Genomic DNA, 22534 nt, shown 5'->3' with positions numbered 1-22534 from the left:
ATTAGGACGAACCCGGGCACTTAGCCGTGCAGGAACAATGGCAAGCCTTTACCCTGATCAGGAGCTGCAATGGGTGCCTCGCCAGATCAGGAGCACAGCTGACTCCCTGCTGGATCCGGAGGGATGGGAGTCAGCAGCGGGTCTGCGACGGCAGCTAACAGTAGTGGTGGATGGCGAGCGAAAGCTCAGCTTGAGCGATAGCAAACACGGACCAGAAGAGAGTGCAGTTGCAAGATTTAATAGAGTGAAAACAGAGCTCCCATACAAAGGGAGGGGACCCAAAGGGGGTTGCGGTTGCCAGCTCGAATGCCTGGCTTTATATCCCAATCCTTGTCCCTCCCGCTGCGCTCTCAGGCAATAGATGATTGGCTATTTCTTTACCTCCTGTTTTTGCCTAATTCGCATTTTAGTGAGCTCTCTGATTGGTCAGGTGTGAGCTAAGTTGCAAGCCCCGTGTTTAAAGGTGGATGTGGTCACCTTCCCAGCTAGGCTTAGGGATTCCTAGTTGGCCTAGGAAATCCAGCTAGTCCTGTCTCTCACCTCCAGATCCTATTTTCCCCTCACTTACATTTAGAGGTACCAATGACTATTTCCAGTAGTATGGAGAGCATTGACAGTTCATAGCATGATCTGGCAGTAGAAATTTGCAAAATATTACCATTAGATTCCCCTAATCAACCGCTTATAAGAAGCAGGGTGAGTGTGTATACAATATTCTTCAATATTTTTGTCAAAATAATGAGTATAATGATATTGGCTGTTTGCTCCTAATGTCACTGGACAATGTGGGAAAAGAAAGAAATAAGCTCCCAGCTCAAGGGTTCAATAGATGACCTGAAAACTTCAATGTGTGCCCTCTAGGAGGCCTCATCTCTAGCCATAGGGCTGAGATTGCTGAAAATCAAGCCTGAATCTTGTCCTGTGACCAGCTCAGGAGGCCTCATCTCTCTAGCCACAGGGCTGAGACTGCTGAAAATCAAGCCTGAATCTTGCCTCATCTCTCTAGCCACAGGGCTGAGATTGCTGAAAATCAAGCCTGAATCTTGTCCTGTGACCAGCTCAGGAGGACTCATCCCTCTAGCCACAGGGCTGAGATTGCTGAAAATCAAGCCTGAATCTTGTCCTGTGACCAGCTCAGGAGGCCTCATCTCTCTAGCCACAGGGCTGAGACTGCTGAAAATCAAGCCTGAATCTTGCCTCATCTCTCTAGCCACAGGGCTGAGATTGCTGAAAATCAAGCCTGAATCTTGTCCTGTGACCAGCTCAGGAGGCCTCATCCCTCTAGCCACAGGGCTGAGATTGCTGAAAATGAAGCCTGAATCTTGTCCTGTGACCAGCTCAGGAGGCCTCATCCCTCTAGCCACAGGGCTGAGACTGCTGAAAATCAAGCCTGAATCTTGTCCTGTGACCAGCTGAGTTACAACGTGAGGTAAACTGCCAGACTTGCAGGGCGTCTACTGTTAAAGTGAGGAAGCGATTGGGAAGAAATAGAATTCTGAAGTATGAAACAGGGACATGTGGGAGAAACTGATGAAACTGGAGCTATTGAGCCCCTAAATTCTGGTAGCTCTTTTTGGCCAGTGGAAGAGGCCTAGCTCCAGTGCAAGCAGCCTTCCCACTGCCAGGGAAAGTTGCCTTTTCACCTGTGTCTGAGGAGATTAACCCTGTATTGCTCAAGGAAACTGTCATGGCCTCCCCCGAGGCGTGCAACACAATGCTGTTCTTATCAGGACCCCACCCTACCACCCCTCTTTGCTTCTAGACCTGCCACTTCACTCCGGTCCCAGCAGGCTTCTCAAGGTGAGGTGCAAAGTGTGACTTATAAGAGTTTACTACACTTCAGAAGACCTACTTGAGGTTTTTTAACTTGCACAGAAAGAAATCTGGGGAACGTGTGGGAAAATGGATATTAAGGGTGTGGAATAATGGTAGAAGGAACATAAAATTGGATCAGGTCAAATTCATTGACCTTGGTTGACTAAGCAGAGATCCTGCAGTTAATGCTGTAGCTCTGGGAGATAAAAAGGGCTCTACCAGTTTGTTGACTTAAATATGGACCAAAAGATGGCCCACAATAAGCAAGTTGGAAATTCTGGACCTGTCTTGGTTGTATGTAGGAGAAGGGATTCAAAGGAAAGATTGAAATGTTAGGGAGATTGGAAGGTTAGAGACCATTTGTTGGTTAAAACCTACTCACCTATCCTCAGAGGGTTCAGAAGACAGACCTTTCACTAATCCTCTGAGAAATAAACTTGTGAGGAGAGCCCCAGCATCCTTGCAGAGCCTGTGATAACTTTTCTCTGTAGGCCAGACCTTACGGTGGGAACTGCAGTCACTGACCTGGATAACAGAATGCAGTGGAGTAATTGAATCCCAGGGTGTCAGGGCCAAGTGGCAGCACTAACCTGCCCAAAGCGAGGTGGGAGTGGTTACCATAATAAACAGCAGAGGCACAGCAGCACTCAGAATAGTCTGACACACACGCCTGGTGACATTGGCTATTTGATGATAATGTTCCCAGAGTGAAATAGATAGGAAGCCCTACTAAGTTCATACTCGATCTACATAAGCAGAGACCTTCTAGGTCAAGTGAATTAAAGTCTAACTTGAATCATAAAAACAGAGAGTCACAGCCCCTCAATCAGTTCTTAGATTTGAGCTGGCTTATAGACCCAGAACCCCTTGAATAAGGGACTGGCCCCTTAAAGAAGACCCCTGGTACATTGCCAACATTTATGCTGTTAATCTGTCTCCTAACCTTCCCCCAAAGGACTTATGGCTGTTACCAGGGTAGCTGCACACTAAGAGAAACAGAAGTAATCAAACCTTTGGAGGCTACTGGACAATGGCTCTGAAGTGACGCTAATTCCAGGAAACCCCAAGTGACTGTGATCCACCAGTCAGAGTAGGGGCTTATCGAGCTCAGGTGGTCAATGGAGTTTTAGTTCAGGTCTTTTTTACAGTTGGCCCACTGGGTCCATGAACTTGGATATTTCCCCAGTTCTAGAGTGCATCATTAGAATAAACATATTCAGCATCTAGGAGAATCCTCATATTGGTTCCCTGACCTGTGAAGTGAGGGATGTTATAGTGAGAATGGCCAAGTGAAAGCCACTCGAATTGCCTCTACCTAGTAAATCAAAAGCAATACCACATTCCCGGAGGGACTGCAGAGAATTAGGGGCACTATCAAGGACGTGAAAGATGCAGAGGTGGTGATTCCCAACACATCCCCATTCAATGAGTTTATGTGGCCTGTGCAGAAGACTGATGGATCTTGGAGAATTAAAGTGGATTATCCTATGTTTATCCAGATGATGAATCCAACTGCAGCTTTTGTACCAGATGTGGCTTCATTGCTTGAGAAAGTTAATATATCCCCTGGTACATAGGATGCAGATATTAACCTGTCATATGCTTGCTCCCATACCTGTTAATAAAGAATCACAACCAGAGCTGAGGTACCTGCTAAAGGCAAAGTGCAAGAACTTAGTTATAAATACCAGCTATGACCATGCGACCCATTACAGAAATGAGAACTGTAATTATCTGAGTATTTCCCCTTTATTTTTAATCAATATATTTGTTTATGTGCATATAATAATATCTTATTTTTCCTCTATTATATCCTTATTGTGTAACATAAGATATGTTGACTTTATATCGTAGTACTTAAGTATTGTTAACTTTACATTATAGTAATTAAGCTATGGGAGTTCAAAAAGAAAAGTAAATATCATGCAAGGACTTTACCTCCTTTTCTGGGGAAGGAATTAGTGCATTTTTGGTTTCACACAGGGTAGTTATATCAGACTAGGTGAAATTATGGCCTTGTTATTGTCTTTACTTGGAGTTTAAGTACAATTTAAGGAGATGTTATAGATGCCAAGTTGACAAGGGGTAAACTTGTGATGTCTAGTTTTATGTGTCAACTTGACTAGGGCAGGTGGTGCCCAGATATTTTGTCAAACATTCTTTTGGGTGTATCTGCAAGGGTGTTTCTGGATGAGATTAACATTTACATTGGTAGACTAGGTAAAGCACACTGCCCTTACCAATACTGGGTGAGCCTCATCCAATCAGTTGAAGGTGTGACTAGAACGAAAGGCTGACCTCTCCCCAGATGAAAAAAAAATTCTTCTGCCTGACTGCCTTTGAACGGGAACATCTGCTCTTCCTGGTTATGAAGACTGCTAGCAATTGCATAAGCCAATTTCTTACAATCAATTTATTATTTTTTTTTATTATTTTTTTTTTGAGACAGAGTCTCCCTCTGTCGCTCAGACTGGAGTGCAGCAGTGCAATCTCGGCTCACTGCAATCTCCGCCTCCCAGGTTCAAGCGATTCTCCTGCCTCAGCCTCCTGAGTAGCTGGGATTACAGGCACGCACCACCACACCCAGCTAATTTTGGTAGTTTTCACCTGTTGGTCAGGCTGGTCTCGAACTCCTGACCTCGTGATCCACCCACCTCAGCCTCCCAAAGTGCTGGGATTACAAGCATGAGCCACCACGCCCAGCCTTCTTACAGTCAGTCTTTCTCTCTCTCTTTCTATGTTTCTTTCTCTATTAGTTCTGTTTCTCTGGAGGACCCTAATACAACTATTTTACTTTCATATATGTTACTAATCCCTCAGTTCATTATTATTTTTGCTTTAAGCGACCATTTATCTTGTAACAAAATTAATCGAAATATACACTTGGTATTTACCTACACATTCTCTATTTCTGAAATCCTTCATTTTACAGATATAAGTTTCATCTGACATTATTTCCCTTCCCTCTGAAGAATTTTCTTTAACATTTCTCATAGTGCATATTTGCTGACAATAAATTCTCTCTGCTTTTGTTTGCCTGGAAGATATTTTATTTGAATTCATTTCTTAAAAACTGTCTAGTTATATAATTCTAGCTTCACAGTATTTCTTTCTGTCAAGACTTCTAAGCTATCTTTCCATTGTCTTTTGTCTCATTACTTTTGATGTGAAGTCGGAGATGATTGCTATTGTTGTTCCCTGAAATATAAATGTACTTATTATTCTCTGGATGTTTATAAAGATCCAGCGAATACAAATTTTTACCAATGATTTATATTATGATATGCCTTGCTGTGGTTTTTATTTGGTTAAAGCAAAATAAAACTCACCAGGGAGTTGTTAAATTTCCTGAAATAGTGGATTTATAATTTTCACCAAATGTAAACATTTTAAGCCATTATTTTAAGCCGTCTGTCTTCAATTATTCTAGTTTTAGATATGTTAATCCACTAGATGTTGTACTCACTGCCCAAGGCTCTGTTATGGATGTATTTATTTAGTCTTTTCTTCCTCTGTGCTTTAGCTTGGGTAATTTACACTGCAATAATTTCAAGTTTCCCTATCTTTACCTTTTTTTTTTCTTTTTTGAGATGGGGTCTCACCCTGTCGCCTAGGCTGGGTGTCACCCAGTCTTGGCTCACTGCATCCTCCACCTCCTGGGCTCTAGTGATCCTCCCACATCAGCCTCCTCAGTAGCTGGGACTACAGGCACACACCACCATGTCTGGCTAGTTTTTTTGTATTTTTGGTAGAGACGGGGTTTTACCATGTTGCTCAGGCTGGTCTCAAACTCCTGAGCTCAAGCAATCCACCTGCCTTGGCCTCTCAAGGTTCTGGGATTATAGGCATGAGCCACCACACCCTGCCGTGTTTACTTTTGAAGTGCATGGCATCTCTTTGTATGCATGCTTAGGAGACAGGGATTTGGTACCCTGAGTACCGGAGATAAAATCATGAATAATAAAAGAGGGGTCTCTAACCTCGCAGACTTCTAGTCTTAGAGATAACTGAACAAATAACCGGTAATTATCTTAAAGTATGCTGAGGACTGCCCATAAAAATAAGAATATAAGAATAGGGATCACATTCAAACAATTAGCATCATTTTGGGGGTTATGGATGACTTTCCAAATGAAGAAATGTTGATGCCAGGACTTGAATGGTAAATAATATGTAATAGGGAAGAAGGAGATACTCAGGAAAGATATTATTTGAAAAACTCAAGGAAACAAGAAAGATATTTGACGAATTCAAAGAAATTCATTAGTGGAAAAAGGTATGCTGCCACGAGCTGTGGTGGTGGTAGTGGTGATGGTGAGAGGGTTTGCTCTGAGGCTGAGATTACAGAATTATGCAATGGTTAGTCCATGAAGGGCATTCTAAGCCATGCTAAGGAACTCATATTTTTTCCTAAGGAAAATTGGGAGCTAATGAATAATTTTGAGCAAGAGAATAATACAATCAGATTTGTTTTGTAGAAACATTACTCTAACTACAATGTGGAGAATGAATTGAAAAAATATCAAGGGCAGGGGGGTGAGTCAGGAGACTATAGCATTAGTTCAAGCAAAATCCATGACAGAAAGCTATAATGACAGTAGCAATGAAGAGAAGTAGAATAATGAGAAAGCCAGTTAGAAGAAAGAAGGAGATAATTGTGTGATGGAATGTGTGGGAAGTGGTAATGAAAGGGAAGGACAAAGATGATCTCTAGGTTTTTTGCCTGCACTTATGAGCTTAAAGTAGCTTTTTCCTGTTCACATAAGACCTAGCCCCATGCCTCTTTTATTCTTCAAATTCTTCAAGCCACAATGACTTCCTTCCATTCTCTGCAGTTCTGTTGCACCCATTTGGTGCCTCTGCCCTTGTAAGACATGATATAATAAGAGAAGCAGCAGCATCTAGCAAATAAGAAAACGGACATGGGAGATACATGGGCTGGGTTAATGATCTAACTCTAAAATTGCTTTGCTCTTTGTCTTTTTTCTTATCTGTAAAATGTGAATAATCATAGTAATTATAAGCATCCTGTAAGGCCACTGTAAGTATTAAATGAGTTAATATAGGTAAAGTGCTTAGGCAGGTGCCTGACACATGGTTGTCATCATATAATTCATTTATATACTATATTATGTTATATTATATTGAAGCGTGATATTATATAAAAGTTGTTTTGTTGTTATTGTTACATAACTTCTCATCTTAACTACATGATAAGCTTCCAGGAACCTGCTCCCAGGTTTGGTATGTCTCTTCTCTACTGTTTCTAACACTCAATGGATCCCTGACAAACATTTTGGTTTGTGATGTTTTCATTCGAGTGGCTTCAGTGAAAAACAACTTGTTCCTAGGATGTTTTCAGTGGGCATATACTTTTGCCTTGAAGCAAAAATGAGTTTCTAAATTTTATGTTTCTAACCAAAAAAATCATAAAAGACATGCATCAAATGGAAAAAGAATTACTTTTTCAGATATGTTTTATAAGTTAAATGGGAGTTGAGTTAAAGCTGAGAGTTTTCTGATGCTTCTGTAGCAATACAGTTTTGGAACCTGAAGACTTGGAAGATATATAGCAAATTGAAATAATCTCAATTATTACAAATAATCTCAACTTATTATAGCAAATTGAAATAATCTCAATTACTGCTCTGCCTTTTTCCTTCTAACTCTAAATGGGGCTAGTTATATTTTATAAAATAAAAGGATGTGCATTAGGGCCAAGGTTTGAAGAGCATTATTTAAGCTTATGTTTAACTTATAAAGAATCTGTGAAAAATTATTTTTGCCAGTAATGATGAACCCACAATGCAAATTTGAAGAAAAAGTTCTCGTAGCCTGTCTCTGCCAATGTGTAGACACAGCTTGGAAAATAAGAGGTGGTTGTATTTTCTGCAAAATTGATGACTATCTTAGTAGTTTTTTCTCCATGTGGCTTTTAAAAAGCCAATTATAGTTCAATCAGTAGTATTTGAGACAGTTTTCCCAGTAGTCGGAAGTACATTATACACTCAAGAAAGAAGAAAATGGGGAAGAATAGAAGACTATGGAAAATGTACAGGAGTAAATAAATGGCCTCTTTTAGCACAAGATTTTGAAAAATGAGTCTTAAAGCAGAAACTCTCCGCCTATTGAGGTAGATAGAGCTTTCAAGTTCATTTTTGGTAATTGAGAGATTTATGGCTACATTTAGAATATTATACTTTTACTTTTATTTTCCCAGTCTTATTGAGATATAATTGACATGTAGAAATTGTATATATTTAAGAAGTATAACATGGTATTTTGATATAAATATACTTTATGTAATGATTCTTACAATTAAGCAAATTAATATATTCATCACCTGACATACTCCTTTTTCTGATGTAGTGAGAACATAACTTCTATTCCCATAGCAAATTCCTAGTATGCAATACATTATTATTAACGATATTACCTATGCTATATATTATAGCTCTACGAATAATTCATCTTGGGAACATACTCCAAGATTGAACAGATGCTCAACCCTAAAGCAAGTCTCAATGGATTCAAGGATGTTAAAATTATACCAACCATACTCACAGACTGCAGTGGAATAAAAAAAGAAATCAATATGAGCAAGATCTCTCAAAACCACACAATTACACGGAAATTAAACAATTTGCTTCAGAATGACTTTTGGGGAAACAACAAAATTAAAGCAGAAATTAAAAATATTATTTGAAATAAATGAAAATAGAGACACACTGTGCTAAAATATCTGGGATGCAGCAAAAGCAGTGTTAGGAGGAAAATTTATAGCACTACTCACCTACCTCAAAAACACAGAAAGGTCTAAAATTCATGATCGAACATAACACTTAGAGGAACTAGAAAAACAAAAACAAACTAACCTCAAAGCTAGCAGAAGAAAAGAAGTAAATCAGAGCAGAACTGAACAAAATTGAGGTACAAAAAACCCATACAAAGTATCAACAAAACCAAAAGTTGGTTATTTGAAAGGATAAACAAGATCAATAGACTACTAGCTAGATTAACAAAGAAAGAAAGAAAGAAAGAAAGAATGAAAGAAAGGAAGATTCACATAAGCAGAAGCAGAAACAACAAAGATGACTTTCCCACCGTTTTCACAGAAATACAAAAGATACTCAGGCAGTATTGTGAACAGCTCTATGCACATAAACTAGACAATCTAGACAAAATTGTTAAATTCCTAGAAATACTCAATTTCCCAAGATTGAATCAGGAAGAAATTGAACACTGAACAGACCAATATTGAGTTATAATATTGAACCAATAATAAAAAACCTACCAACCAAAAAAAAAAATCCATGGACTAGAAGGATTAACATTTGAAGTCTACCAGATATACAAAAAAAAAAAAGCTATTTATTTGAAACTATTCAAATAAATTGAGAAGAGACTCCTCCCTGATTCATTTTACAAAGCCAGCATCACCCTGATACAAATTCCTGGCAAAGATACAATGAAAAAAGAAAACTACAGGCCAAAATTCCTGATGAACATAGATATGCAAAAATCCTCAACAAAATACTTGCAAACTAAATCCAATAGCACACCAAAAAGTTAATTCACTGCAATACAGATAGTTTCATTCCTGAAATGCAAGGTTGGTTCAACATACATAAATGAATAAATGTGATTCACCACATAAGCAAAATTAAAAACAAAAACCATATGATATTTCAATAGATGCAGAAAAATCTTTCCATAAAATCCAACATCCCTTTATAAAAAAATGCTCAAGAAACTAGGCAGTGAAGAAACATATCTCAAAATAATAAGAACCATCAATGGCAAAACCACAGCCCACATTATACTGAATGGACAAAACTGGAACCATCCCCACCTTTGAGAGCTGTAACAAGACAAGGATGCTCATGCTAACCACTCCTACTCAACATAGTATTGGAAGTGCTAGCCAGAGCAATTATAAAAGAAAAATAAATAAAAGGAATCCAAATAGAAAAAAGAGTCAAATGATCTCTCTTTGCTGATTATATACTTCTATATCTAGAAAATCCTAGACTCTGCCAAAAGGCTCCTGGAACTGATAAATGACTTCAGTAAAGTTTTAGGATACAAATTAATGTACAAAAATCAGTAGCATTTCTATAAACCAATAACATTTCCATTTACAATACAAGAAAACAATCCCATTTACAATAGCCACACAAAAATAAAATACCTAAGAACACACCAAACCAAGAAGGTGAAAGATCTCTATAAGGAGAACTACCAAACATTGTTGAAAAATATCATAGATGACACAAACAAATAAAAAAACTTTCCATGCTCATATATAGGAAGAATCAACATTGTTAAAATGGCCATACTGCCCAAAGCAATCTACAGATTCAACACTATTCCTATAAAATCACCAATGCCATTTTTCACAGAAGTAGGAAAAACCATTCTAAAATTTATGTATAACCAAAAAAGCAGCAGCCTGAATAGACACTGCAATCCTAAGCAAAAAGAACAAAGCCAGAAGCATCACATTAACTGACCTCAAACTGTACTATAAGGCTGTAGTAGCCAAAACAGCATGGTACTGGTACATAAATAGATGCATAGACCAATGGACCAGAATAGAGAACTCAGAAATAAAGCTGCACACCTACAGCCATCTGGTCTTCAACAAAAGTCAACAAAAATAAGCAATGGGGAAAGGACTCCCTATTCAATAAATAACACTGAGATAGGTGACTAGCCATATGCAGAAGATTAAAACTGGATCACTCCATTTTACCATATAGAAAAATTAACCCAAGATGAATTAAAGATTTAAATGCAAAACTCAAAACTATAAGAATCCTAGAAGGAAACCTAGGAATTACCACTCTAGACACCGGCCTTGGCAAATAATTTATGGCTAAGACTCCAAAAGCAATCACAATAAAAACAAAAATTGACAGGTGGGACCTAATTAAACTAAAGAGCTTCTGTGCAGCAAAATAAATCATCAGAGTAAACAGACACCCTACAAAATGGGAGAAAATGTTCACAAACTATGTATCCAACAAAGGTCTAATATCCAGAATCTATAGGAAACTTACATCAACAAGCAAAAAACAACCCCATTAAAAAGTGGGCAAAGGACATAAACAGACACTTCTAAAGACACACGGTAAGGCAACAAACATATGAAAAAATGCTGAACATTACTAATTGTCAGAAATATGCAAATCCAAACCACAATGAGATACCATTTCACACCAGTCAGAATGGCTATTATTAAAAAGTCAAAGAAAACAACAGATGCTGGTGAGGCTGCAGAGAAAAGGGAACACTTATACGCTGTTGGTGGGAATGCAAATGAGTTCAGCCACTGTGGAAAGCAGTTTGAAGATTTTTCAAAGAACTTAAAACAGAACTACCATTTGACTCAGTAGTCCCATTACTAGATATACATCCAAAAGAAAACAAATCATTTCACCAAAAAGACACATGCACTTGCCTGTTCATCACAGCACGATTCACAATAGCAAAGACATGGAATCAACCTAGGAGCCCATCGGTGACAGATGGGATAAAGCAAATGTGGTACATATACACCATGGAATACTACACAGCCATAAGAAAGAATAGAAACATGTCTACGTGCAGCAACATGGATGCAGCTGTAGGCCATTACCCTAAGTGAATTAGCACAGAAACAGAACACCAATACCATATGTTCATACTCATAAGTGAGAGCTAAACATTAGGTACTCATGGACATAAAGATGGCAACAGCAGAAACTGAGGACTATTGGAGAGGGAAGGGAGAAAAGGGCATGGGTTAAAAATCTATTTGGTACTGTGCTCACTACCTGGGTGATGGGATCATTTATACTCCAAACCTCAGCATCATGCAATATACCCATATAACAAACCTACACATGTATCCCCTGAATCTAAAATAAAAGTTGAAAAATAAAAGAAAGAAAGAAAGAAAAAAGACACTGTCAAGGGAATGAAAAGTAAAGATACAGACTGGGAGAAAAACATTTTTAAAATACTTTTCTGATAAATAATTATTCAAAATAGAGAAAGAGCTCTTAAAAATGAGCAGTAAGGAAACAACTGATTTAAAAAATTGGATCAAAGACTAACAGACATCTGAAGAAGTTATGCAGATGGCAAATAAGCATATGAAAAGATGCTCCACATAATCCATCATCAGGACCGTACAAATTAAAACAACAAAATACCACTATACACACATTGGAAGAGCCAAAATCCAAAATACTAATGACATCAAATGCTGGCGAGGATGATGAGCCACAAGAACTCTCATTCATTGCTTGTGGGAATTCATAATAGTTCAGCTACTTTGTAATATACCTTGTATTCTTAAAAATAAACACACCCCGGCCAGGCGCAGTGGCTCACGCCTGTAATCCCAGCACTTTGGGAGGACGAGGCGGGTGGATCATGAGGTCAGGAGATTGAGACCATCCTGGCTAACACACTGAAACCCCGTCTCTACTAAAAACAAAAAAATTAGCCGCGAGTGGTGGCAGGTGCCTGTGGTCCCAGCTACTGAGGAGGCTGAGGCAGGAAAATGGCGTGAACCCGGGAGGCAGAGCTTGCAGTGAGCTGAGATCGCACCACTGCACTCCAGTCTGGGTGACAGCAAGACGCCATCTCAAATAAATAAATAAATAAATAAAATAAACACACCCCTCCATATGGTCAACAATTGCAGTCCTTAGGAATTTACACAAAAGAATTTAAAACTTATGTTCAAACAAAACCTGCATGTGGATGTTTATATCATTTTCTTCATAATTGTCAAAACTTGGAAGCAACCAAAATGCCCTTAAGTACATGAATGGATAAATAAGTTGGGATATAGCCAGGCAATAAAATATTATTCAGCACTTAAAGAAATGCACTAGCGAGCCATGAAAAGACATGGAGGAAACTTAAACGCCTATTGCTAAGTGAAGAAACCCAATTTGAAAAGACTACATACCATGTTATTGCAACAATATGACATCTGAAAATGGCAAAACTATGAAGAGTGTTAAAAGATATGGTTTTTCTTAGGGCTTAGGGGAAAGGAGGGATGAAAAGTCTAAGTGCCAAGATTATGAGGGCAGTGAAAGTGCTCTGTATGATACTATGTGGAATACATGTCATTATCCATTTGTCAAACCCATAGAGAGTATAACACTAAAAGTAAAACCTAATGTTAACTATGGATTTCAGGTGACAATGATGTGTCAATATAAGTTCATCAGTTGTAACAAATGTACCACTTTGGAGAGGGTTGATAATAATGAGGGAAGCCATGCTTACATAGGGGTAGGAGCCATTTGAGATATCTCTGTACCTTCCACTCAGTTTTGCTTGGAACCTAAAATTGCTCTAAAAAATAGTCTATTAAAAATAATCACCCAAATTAAATTGTGGAGCTAGAGTATAAACTGAAGTACCTTGTGCCTGTGATGTGTTTCAGCTATATATTCCTTTGCTGAAGACACATGCCATTTTTTTAAATGTGAAATGGAATCTCTTCCTCCTTTTAAAACCTTCCAAATTCACTTGAATCTCACCTAGCCTTACTTTTTGCTTGACTAATGTAATGTGGCAAGTTATGTACTGAGACTTCTGAAGCTAAATCCTAAGAAGCCTTGTTAGTTTCTGCCTGTACCTCCTGGAATGATTGTTCTTGGAGCACTGTAGTGTAAGAAGAAATTCATGCAGCAGAGGTATTATGTAGGCTCTCTAAGGAACAGACTGTACCAAGCTCAGCCTTCTGGGCCATCTCTGTCAAGGAATAGACAATGAGTAAATGTACCTCAGACCCTCAAGACCAGTCAAACCACCAGCTGTCTGCCACCAGATGAACACTGATTGACATCACGTGGAGCGAAAATTGTCCAGCCATACCCTGCCTGAATTCCTGCCCTACACATAAATAATATAATAAATAATAATAAATTATAAAATGAATTTTTAAGCCACTAGATTAATTTGTTACATAACAGTAAGTAACCTGTGCTCAGTAACTTTGCCCGTGGTCATCTTCTTTTTGTTTACCCATCCAGAGACAAGGGAGTCTCCAGTTCTACTTTAACATATAAACATTTCAAGAAAGAGAACCTCTGTAGTATATCTCTGAGGGAATCAATGTGGATTGTATCTGATTATGAAAAGCGTTTTGTTGAAAAAATGCTTCTGCTTGATACTGATTTGGGGGGGCCTTGAACCTTCCCTTTGCTAAAGAAAAAAATCAAAATGAAATTAAAACTGTCTCAGTTAATTTTATGTCTAGTAAGAAAGAGCTAGTTACTTCCTAGATACAATGGGGGTACAGGCACAGGGTAAATACACTCATTCCAAATGGGAGAAACTGGCCAAAATGAAGGGGGCTGTAGGCCCCATGCAAGTCCGAAATCTGTCAGGACAGTCAAGACATAAAATGATCTCCTTTTACTTTATGTCTCACATCCAGGTCACATTGATGCTAGAGGTCAGTTCCTATGGTCTTGGGCAGCTCTGCCCCTGTGGGTTTGTAGGGTACAGCACCCCCATCCCCACCCCCACCCAGCTGCTTTCACAGGCTGGTATTGAGTGTCTGCAGCTTTTCCAGGCACATGGTGCAAGCTGTCAGTGGATCTATCATTCTGTGGTCTGGAGGATGGTGGCCCTCTTTTCACAGCTCTACTAGGCAGTGCCCTCCTGGGGACTCTGTGTGGGGGCTCTGACCCCACATTTCCCTTCTGCATTTCCCTATCAGAGGTTCTTCATGAGGGCTCCTCCCCTGAAGCACAACTCTGCTTGGACATCCAGGCATTTCCATGCATCCTCTGAAATCTAGGCAGAGGTTTCCAAATCTTAATTCTTGACTTCTGTACACCTGCATGCCCAACACACATATAAGCTGCCAAGGCTTGGAGCTTGAACCCTCTGAAGCAATGGCTTGAGCTGTACATTGGGCCCTTTTAGCCATGGCTGGGATACAGGGTGCCATGTCCCGAGACTGCACAAAGCAGCAAGGCCCTGGGCTTGGCCCATGAAACCATTTTTCCCTCCTAGGCCTCTAGGCCTGTGATGGGAGGGGCTGCCATGAAGACCTCTGACATGTCCTGGAGACATTTTCCCCATTGTCTTGGCAATTAACATTTGGGTCCTCATTACTTATGCAAATTTCTACAGCCAGCTTGAATTTCTCCTCAGAAAATGAGTTTTTCTTTTCTATTGCATTGTCAGACTGCAAATTTTTCAAACTTTCATGCTCTGCTTCTCTTTTAAACATAAGTTCCAATTCCAAACCATATCTTTGTGAATACATAAAACCGAATGTCTTTAACAGCACCCACATCATATCTTGAATGCTTTGCTGCTTAGAAATTTCTTCCACCAGATACTCTAAATCATTTCTCTCAAGTTCAATGTTCCATAGATCTGAAGAGAAAAGGCAAAATGCTGCCAGTCTCTTTGCTAAAGCATAATGAAAGTCACCTTTTCTCCAATTCCCAACAAGTTCCTCATAGTATTAGTAGCCTTGGTTTCTAGATGGTAAAGTAAGAAGCAAAAGGATTAATGGGAAACTTACTAATTATAAGCAATATAAAACTTAATATTTTCTAGATAACTATAGCTTAAACATTAATGCAATATTTTTACTCAAAACTATTATTGGGCCAGGCTCAGTGGCTCATTCCTGTAATCCCAGTACTCTGGGAGGCTGGGGTGGGCAGAACACTTCAGCTCAGGAGTTTGAGACCAGCCTGGCCAACATGGCAAAACCATATCTCTACATATGTTCTGCAGGGCATATGACAAAGCCTCCTTTCTGCTGGGATTCACATTGTTGAGATATACATTTTTGTAAAACCTAGTATGAATAAGAAGCTCACCATAAAACCTTGTGAATAGAGAAAAGATTCTTGTTGCTTTTCATGAAAGGAAGATTCCATGAGTGACAAGAAAATGATTGCAGAGAGATCAAACACTTAGAATCAAGATAAAAGAAAAATTAAGGAAATTTTAAAGAAAAATGGGTCCAAGTCCAAGAGATGTTAGGTGCTGAATCTGGCGTCTTTTGTTTTTATAATACCTACTATGAAAAGTGGAATTTGATCACTCTGTTTTAGGTCACTCAAAGCAGATTTCAATTTCCTCAGGTCTTTTTTTTTCTCAACTTGACTAATAATTCTTAATCTCATTACTTTACTTGTCTGATAAAGACTGTGGTTACTCTCACTAGCTAAACAACATTAGGCATTTTACATGTAAAATATTGAATGTAATTATGCAGATTCCTAAAGTGTGTTTTTGCCCCAAACATTCTCCCTAAATGTTTGCTCCAGACTACTAAATTATTTAGGCCAGTATCATTCATTTATATTCTAAAATTTGCAGCATAATGTCTGTATATCAGGTGGTTTTATTAATATTTTATTCAAGAACAGCAATAAATCAGTATTGGCAGCCAGGCACCGTGCTAGTACCAGATCTCTCATTTTCATAAATATCTGATGATACATTTGTATTATTGAGACCTTTTTTGTATTTTATTTTTTTGATGGAATAGGTATTTTTATTTATCCCATAAATACCTTCAAGGGTGGATCTCAGGAGTGGTCACCTTATAACCCTAAAAATGCCATGGATTTTGATATCTTTGCTCAAGGACAAAAATCCTACCTTCCTCCAAAGCTTTCCTTCCTGGTTTTGGAGCTCATTGATTTTCTATTTATTTCTGAAGGTACTTTGCTTTCCCTTCCATGTCTTCCCACTTCCAACTGTTGCTTTTCCAGCTAGTTTGATTTCCTTTCCATTTTATTTTGTTAGAGGCTTTGACAAATGTTACTTTTCATAAGAGTATAAGCAAATATGATCATCTTTCGGGAACGTCTGTCAACCCAAGGTATATCCTCTTTTAATTCCACAATGGTTTATTATTATATTGAATTTGGGATCCATTAAAATAGACGCTAACGTTTTTGAAGGATAATTGATATTTTGACACTACGCAGTTTGACAGTATTAGATGAAGATAGGACAAGTAATATTTTGCAGAGAAGTATATATTGAGGACCATGATAAGAAAGTAAGATGTGTGAATATTTTTATGTCTCTCTTCTGAGTAAGGTGACTGAATAATTTATCATTTGAAATTGATAAGAAATATCTACACTTATTCCAAGTCTATATGCATAAATCAAGGTTCTCTCATCAAAATGAGATATACGTTCCCCTTTCCATTAAGACTCTTCTGTTTTAGGTATTTGTTGCAGAAATGTTCACACACATACGTGTATTTAGACAACAGTGTAATGAACCCATGTGTCCTTCATCTAGGTTCAGTAATTATCAACCTGCAGCCAACTGTCATTCTTTTTTACACCCACAGTCTCACTCTGCCTTGCCAATATGCAGAAGCAAATCCAATGCAGTATAATGAGTTACGTCCTGAGCCAAATATGACTCCATTTTACCCACACCCAGCTCTCTCTTTTCCACTCTGTTCTGCTCACACCACCCCATCTCTGCCATTCTTTTCACTTTATCTTTTAGCTGTGCTGCTCTGATAGACTGACTCTGCCAGCAGAAAGACCATTAAGCTCAACATCAAACAAAAGCAACTCAGAGGAGGAGACAGACCAGCTGTGCCTCCTGCCTCCCCTCCTTTGCTCTCACCCATAGCTCCATCACAGTGGCTCCATGAGGGCAGTGAGCGAGGCCCTGGTCCATGTGAGGTTCATCCATCTGCTGCTCTGGCTGGGAGTGTTTCTGTTCTTTTCTGGATGGCTCCAGATTGGGCTCTGTCAACACCAAAGCCTCCCAGAAGTGGTGATACCCCTGAGGATAACTGGTGCTGACAGAGGCACGGACACTCAAGGCTGGCTGTCCTATGGCCTGCAAGTTGGCAGCCAAAGGTACATTGTCCACATGAAGGTCAATAAGCTTTTGATATTTTTGATATCCAAATCCTTCTCTGTGTTCACCTACTCAGACCAGGGTGCTATTTTTGAGGACCAACTTTTGTCCAGGATGACTGCTACTATCACAGTTATGTGGAAGGGGACCCAGAATCCCTGGTTGCTCTTAGCAGCTGTTTGGGGGGCTTTCAAGGAATACCACAGATAAATGACACTGCTTAGGAAATCAAGCCCAAAAGGGTTTCAGCCACATTTGAACATCTGATATATAAGATGGACAATGAGGAGACACAATTCCCACCCATGAGATGTGGGTTGATAGAGGAAGAAATAGCAAGACAATTGAAGTTTCAAGATCCTTCTACTCTAATGCAAAGTGGCTTTGAGGGCTGGTGGACCCATAAATTGTTTGTTGAACTGGCAGTAGTGGTAGATGATGAATGATTCCTTTATCTGGAAAGTCATACCTCAAATGTGCAGGAGGAAGTACTCATGCTGTATCAAAAAGCTGATGCATTTTATATTCCACTGGGTGCCAATTGTCACTGTAGTGGGACTTGAGATCTGGACTCAAGAAAACTTCATTACAATGGACACTGCAGGTGTTGGCCTGAAAGAAATTTGCAAATGGAAACAAACTAGCTTTAATTCTTGCATTCCTCATGATGTTGCACATCTTATTGTAAAACGCTCCTATGGTATTACTCTTGGCTTAGCCAATGTTGGAACAGTATGTTATAGAGAAAGTAATTATGCAATTAACAGTTTTGGACATAACAGAGTGGGATCTTTTGCACTCGTAGCAGCACCTGAGCTTGGTCATAATTTGGGTATGACTCATGATACAAAAACATGTTCCTGTGGGCAAAAAAGTGTATAATGTTTCCAACGGCAACTTCCACAAAAAGATTCAGCAACTGTAGTTAATGCTAGATTTTTTCAAACCACTGTAACAACGATCTGCATGCATGCTTCACCAAATCGAGATAGAATCATGACACAGAGGTGCTGTGGGAATGGTGCGGTAGAAGAAGAGTATGACCGCGGAAACTTACCATCGTGTGAAAAGAGCCATGTTGCTTTGCAAATTGCACTTTCAAACCTGGGGCTGCTTGTGTTTTGGGGCTTTGCTGCAAAAACTGCCAGATCATGCCATCGGTCGAAGTGTGCAGACAAGAGTCCAGCGAATGGGATCTTCCAGAGTGGTTCAACGGGACTTCGCATGAGTGTGCAGAAGATGTGTGTTTGCAGGACGGGATCCCCTGCAAGGGCAGTGGCCACTGCTACGAAAAGAGATGTAATAACTGTGATGAACAGTGTAGACAAATTTTTGGCCAGGTAGCCAACAGTGCAAATCAGAGTTGCTGCAGTAATATGAACATCCGAGGTGATCATTTTGGTCACTGTGGTTTCAATGGCACCAAATAGGTAAGATGTGAGGTCACAGATATCTTGTGTGGGAGAGTTGAGTGTGAGAACATGCAAGAAATCCCCCTTTTGAGAGATCATTCTACTCTGCACCGGACTCACTTCATTGGTGTCACCTGCTGGGATACCGGCTATCGAATGGGGATAAGCACTCCTGATATTGGTGACGTGAAAGATGCTACCGAGTGTGGTTCAGAACACGTCTGTATGCACAGGAAATGTGTCACTATGTCACTTTTGAACAGTACCTGTTTGCCCGTGACCTGTAATATGAGACCTGTCTGCAACAATAAACATCACTGCCATTGCTGCCGAGAGTGGAAGCCTCCTGACTGCCTGAGAGAAGGCACTGAGGGTAGTGTTGATAGTGGCACCACCACCCCCAGGAAAAAGGGAGAAAATGAGGTGTGCAAGCAAGGGGTGTAACACCATATTTATGGATTCCCTTTTTGCTTTTGCTTTGCTTTCTGTTTATGTTGTTGTTGATCACGCACAGAAAAACAAAGAAGAGCCAAATGCTCAAACTTTACCTGAAAAAGTAAAGCAACATGTTCAAATGTCACCTAAGAAAGAAAAGCAAAATGTTCAAACTTCACCTACAAAAAACTTGAAAACAAATTAAAACTTCAGAAAAGAAGCTTAATCATTCATGAAATTTCTCACGTATTAATTTTGTGTGTGCTGTCAGGAGAAATTTTATTGCATATGCCTGAGACCACTGACAGAAATCCCCAAGGTCTTTTATAGTTTAGAATCATAAATGTTGGCTATTGAATAAGGTAATGCCAGCTTATTCCTGCTTTTTCATTATTTTAAAGCAATTTTAGTGTTTTATTTGTTATAAAATTAGACTTGGGTTTCTTGAGCAAAGACACAGCTCACGAATGGGTTCTGTGTGTTTTAATTCGCTGTCTTTCAATTCCAAGCCTCCTTCCCCTTTTTACTCTTTATCCTTGCGCTTTGTCACAGGGAGAACGGGAACCTACACACTCCATTTCCTCTTTGCCCATCCTCTCTGTTAGTATTTGCCGTTGGGGGAACTAGAGAGACCGGAAACCTGACAGAAGTGTCTGATAGCTGTTTATGTCAATGTTACCTGAGTAACACACAGCTTCCGCCTTGGCAGCAGCAGTAGCTTTGTGCCTGCACGTTTTGCCTACATATATTCCATAACTCCCAGGTCCAATAGCATTGTCAGCCCCAGGGATACCAGCACAGCCATCAAACATCCATCTTACCTTCAGAGGTCTTAGTCGCCTCAGAGGGTCTTTGGATCCTCTACGAATTCCAGAGGTTTCAGCGGTAGGTTGGCTCTACCCTCTCCTAAGAGGTTGAAGTCCTGGAACCAGGGGATCTATTCCAAGCTTGCGGGTTCCATTAACCCCACTCCTTTCCCTTTGATCTCCAGTCCTAGTAGTGATCGCTACATCTTCCTGTTAGTGACTCATGGTTAGCCCAGGGTGTGGTTTCTCATTTTGTGATTGAAGTCTAAGTGACGCAGTCCTTACCTTGCTACGGTGGAAAACACGGGAAGGAAGCAGACATCGGAAGCGTTGGAATTTTCTCCTCATTGCCTTTTCCCATCTTGGGGAAAAGACTGAAACTTAGAAACACTGTTTTCAAAATCTGATAAAGAGAATAGCACTTGCCAATCAACCCCTCTGTAATTTTGGTAATAAAATAGGATAAAGAAGAACGAATTCTATGTAGGATAGAATAAGTCTTAGAAAGCCATGTTTTCTCTGGGAAAACACCAGAAATCCCAATTAAACTTCAAAAACCATATTTTTTTTTTTTTTTCTTGAGACGGAGTCTCGCTCTGTCGCCCAGGCTGGACTGCAGGGGCGCGATCTCGGCTCACGGCAAGCTCCGCCTCCCGGGTTCACGCCATTCTCCTGCCTCAGCCTCCCGAGTAGCTGGGACTACAGGCGCCCGCCACCACGCCCGGCTAATTTTTTGTATTTTTAGTAGAGATGGGGTTTCACCGTTTTAGCCGGGATGGTCTCGATCTCCTGACCTCGTGATCCGCCGGCCTCGGCCTCCCAACGTGCTGGGATTACAGGCGTGAGCCACCGCGCCCGGCCAAAAACCATATTTTAAGGGCATCAGAAGTTGTGCAAGCAAGAAGTACTTAATGAACTAAAACTTTAGGCATGGAAAACAGTTCTGAAATGAGTTGAATATTGCAGTCATTCATTTTTTTGGGAGCACTTACAGATGCTGGATGTGAATTGAGGATTACGTTTGACCTAGTTAGAGACCGTGTGCTGAGAGAAAGGGAAACCACCAACCCTCTTCATTGCTACTCAGGACTAGATTCACAGATCAGATGTTCTGGAGCCTTCAATTCTGAATCATTTCTCCCCAGGTCACATATGATGAATGTTAAGGCTTTGTGGGATGTTGATAAGCTAGCCTCAATGTTATCAAAGGATACAGTTTCCTAAACTGATGTGATATTTTGGACACGAAGCATAGTTAAACAGGGATTGTCTGTCTGTTAAGACACTTACCTAATTTGGGGCTTGCTTGTAGCAAGAGACTGGAGAGCTGGGCTGTGAACCTTTGTGTAATAGAGATGAATCCTTATATTGTTTCAGAGCTGAGGAAATAGAGCCACACAGATACCCAAGTGAAAGTCTAGCAGGCCCAGACCTCAGCAACATGAGAGAGAGAGAATTAGTCCAAGATACATGGAAAACTCACTTACTTCAGACCTAGCTCAATTCATGACTGACTCAGGGAATTAATTGGCTCCCCAGTCTAACAGAAAAAAGAGGGGAACATCTTCAATGGAGGTACCCGGAGCATCTGTGCTTGCTTTGTAATCAGTTACCTGACAAAGTAACTCATTTCTATGTAGGTTATGAGTAAAACAAGTATGACCTCTTATCAGAGAATGAAAAAAGGAAAAGAAAGAAGCAGAAGGAGACACTCTAAGTAGTGTCAAGATGATCCAGACAGGGGAGCACATACATAGGGGAGAATATTTTTAAAATGACTATAATTACCATGCTTTAAATTAGAAGGAAAAATGCACACAGTATATCAAACAATGTAAAATATCCTGCGTAAGCTGGAAATTTTCAAACGGATATTTCAGAACTAAATATGATTTAAGAATTCAGTAGATGCATTTAACAGTAGATTGGACAGTTCAGATTACAGAATTGCTTAACTGGAAAATAGGTCAAGGGCAAGATTCCTACACTGAAGCACACAGAAGACAAACTTAAAACTTAGGGATGAGGTGTCTGAACAGTATAAGAAGTCTAACATCCCTAATATGGGAGTCCTGGAGAAAATAAATGACACTTGAATAGCAGGAATAGTCCGAGCTGTTTGTTGTCAATTGCTTTAAAAGGAAGGAAAGATTTAACAACTGGTTCAGAGTGGGTCACGTA

General features: G+C 39.7%; 1 pseudogene, besides 1 other annotated feature; it reads left to right on the top strand.

Moving 5' to 3' along the window:
* Positions 17485-19556, top strand: ADAM20P3 (ADAM metallopeptidase domain 20 pseudogene 3; annotated as a pseudogene).
* Positions 20072-21271: an enhancer, noted in NCBI's record as "P300/CBP strongly-dependent group 1 enhancer chr4:188665573-188666772 (GRCh37/hg19 assembly coordinates)". NCBI's record gives its function as "activates an origin of replication core promoter dependent on BRD2, BRD4, P300/CBP, MED14 and CDK7 cofactors, with strong dependence on P300/CBP, by STARR-seq in HCT116 cells {active_cell/tissue: HCT116}" and the evidence as "EXISTENCE:reporter gene assay evidence [ECO:0000049][PMID:35650434]".

Source organism: Homo sapiens, chromosome 4, assembly GCF_000001405.40.
Source record: "Homo sapiens chromosome 4, GRCh38.p14 Primary Assembly".
Lineage (NCBI taxonomy): Eukaryota > Metazoa > Chordata > Mammalia > Primates > Hominidae > Homo > Homo sapiens.
Note: the sequence above shows the minus strand (reverse complement) of the source record. Positions and strands in the feature narration are given on the sequence as shown.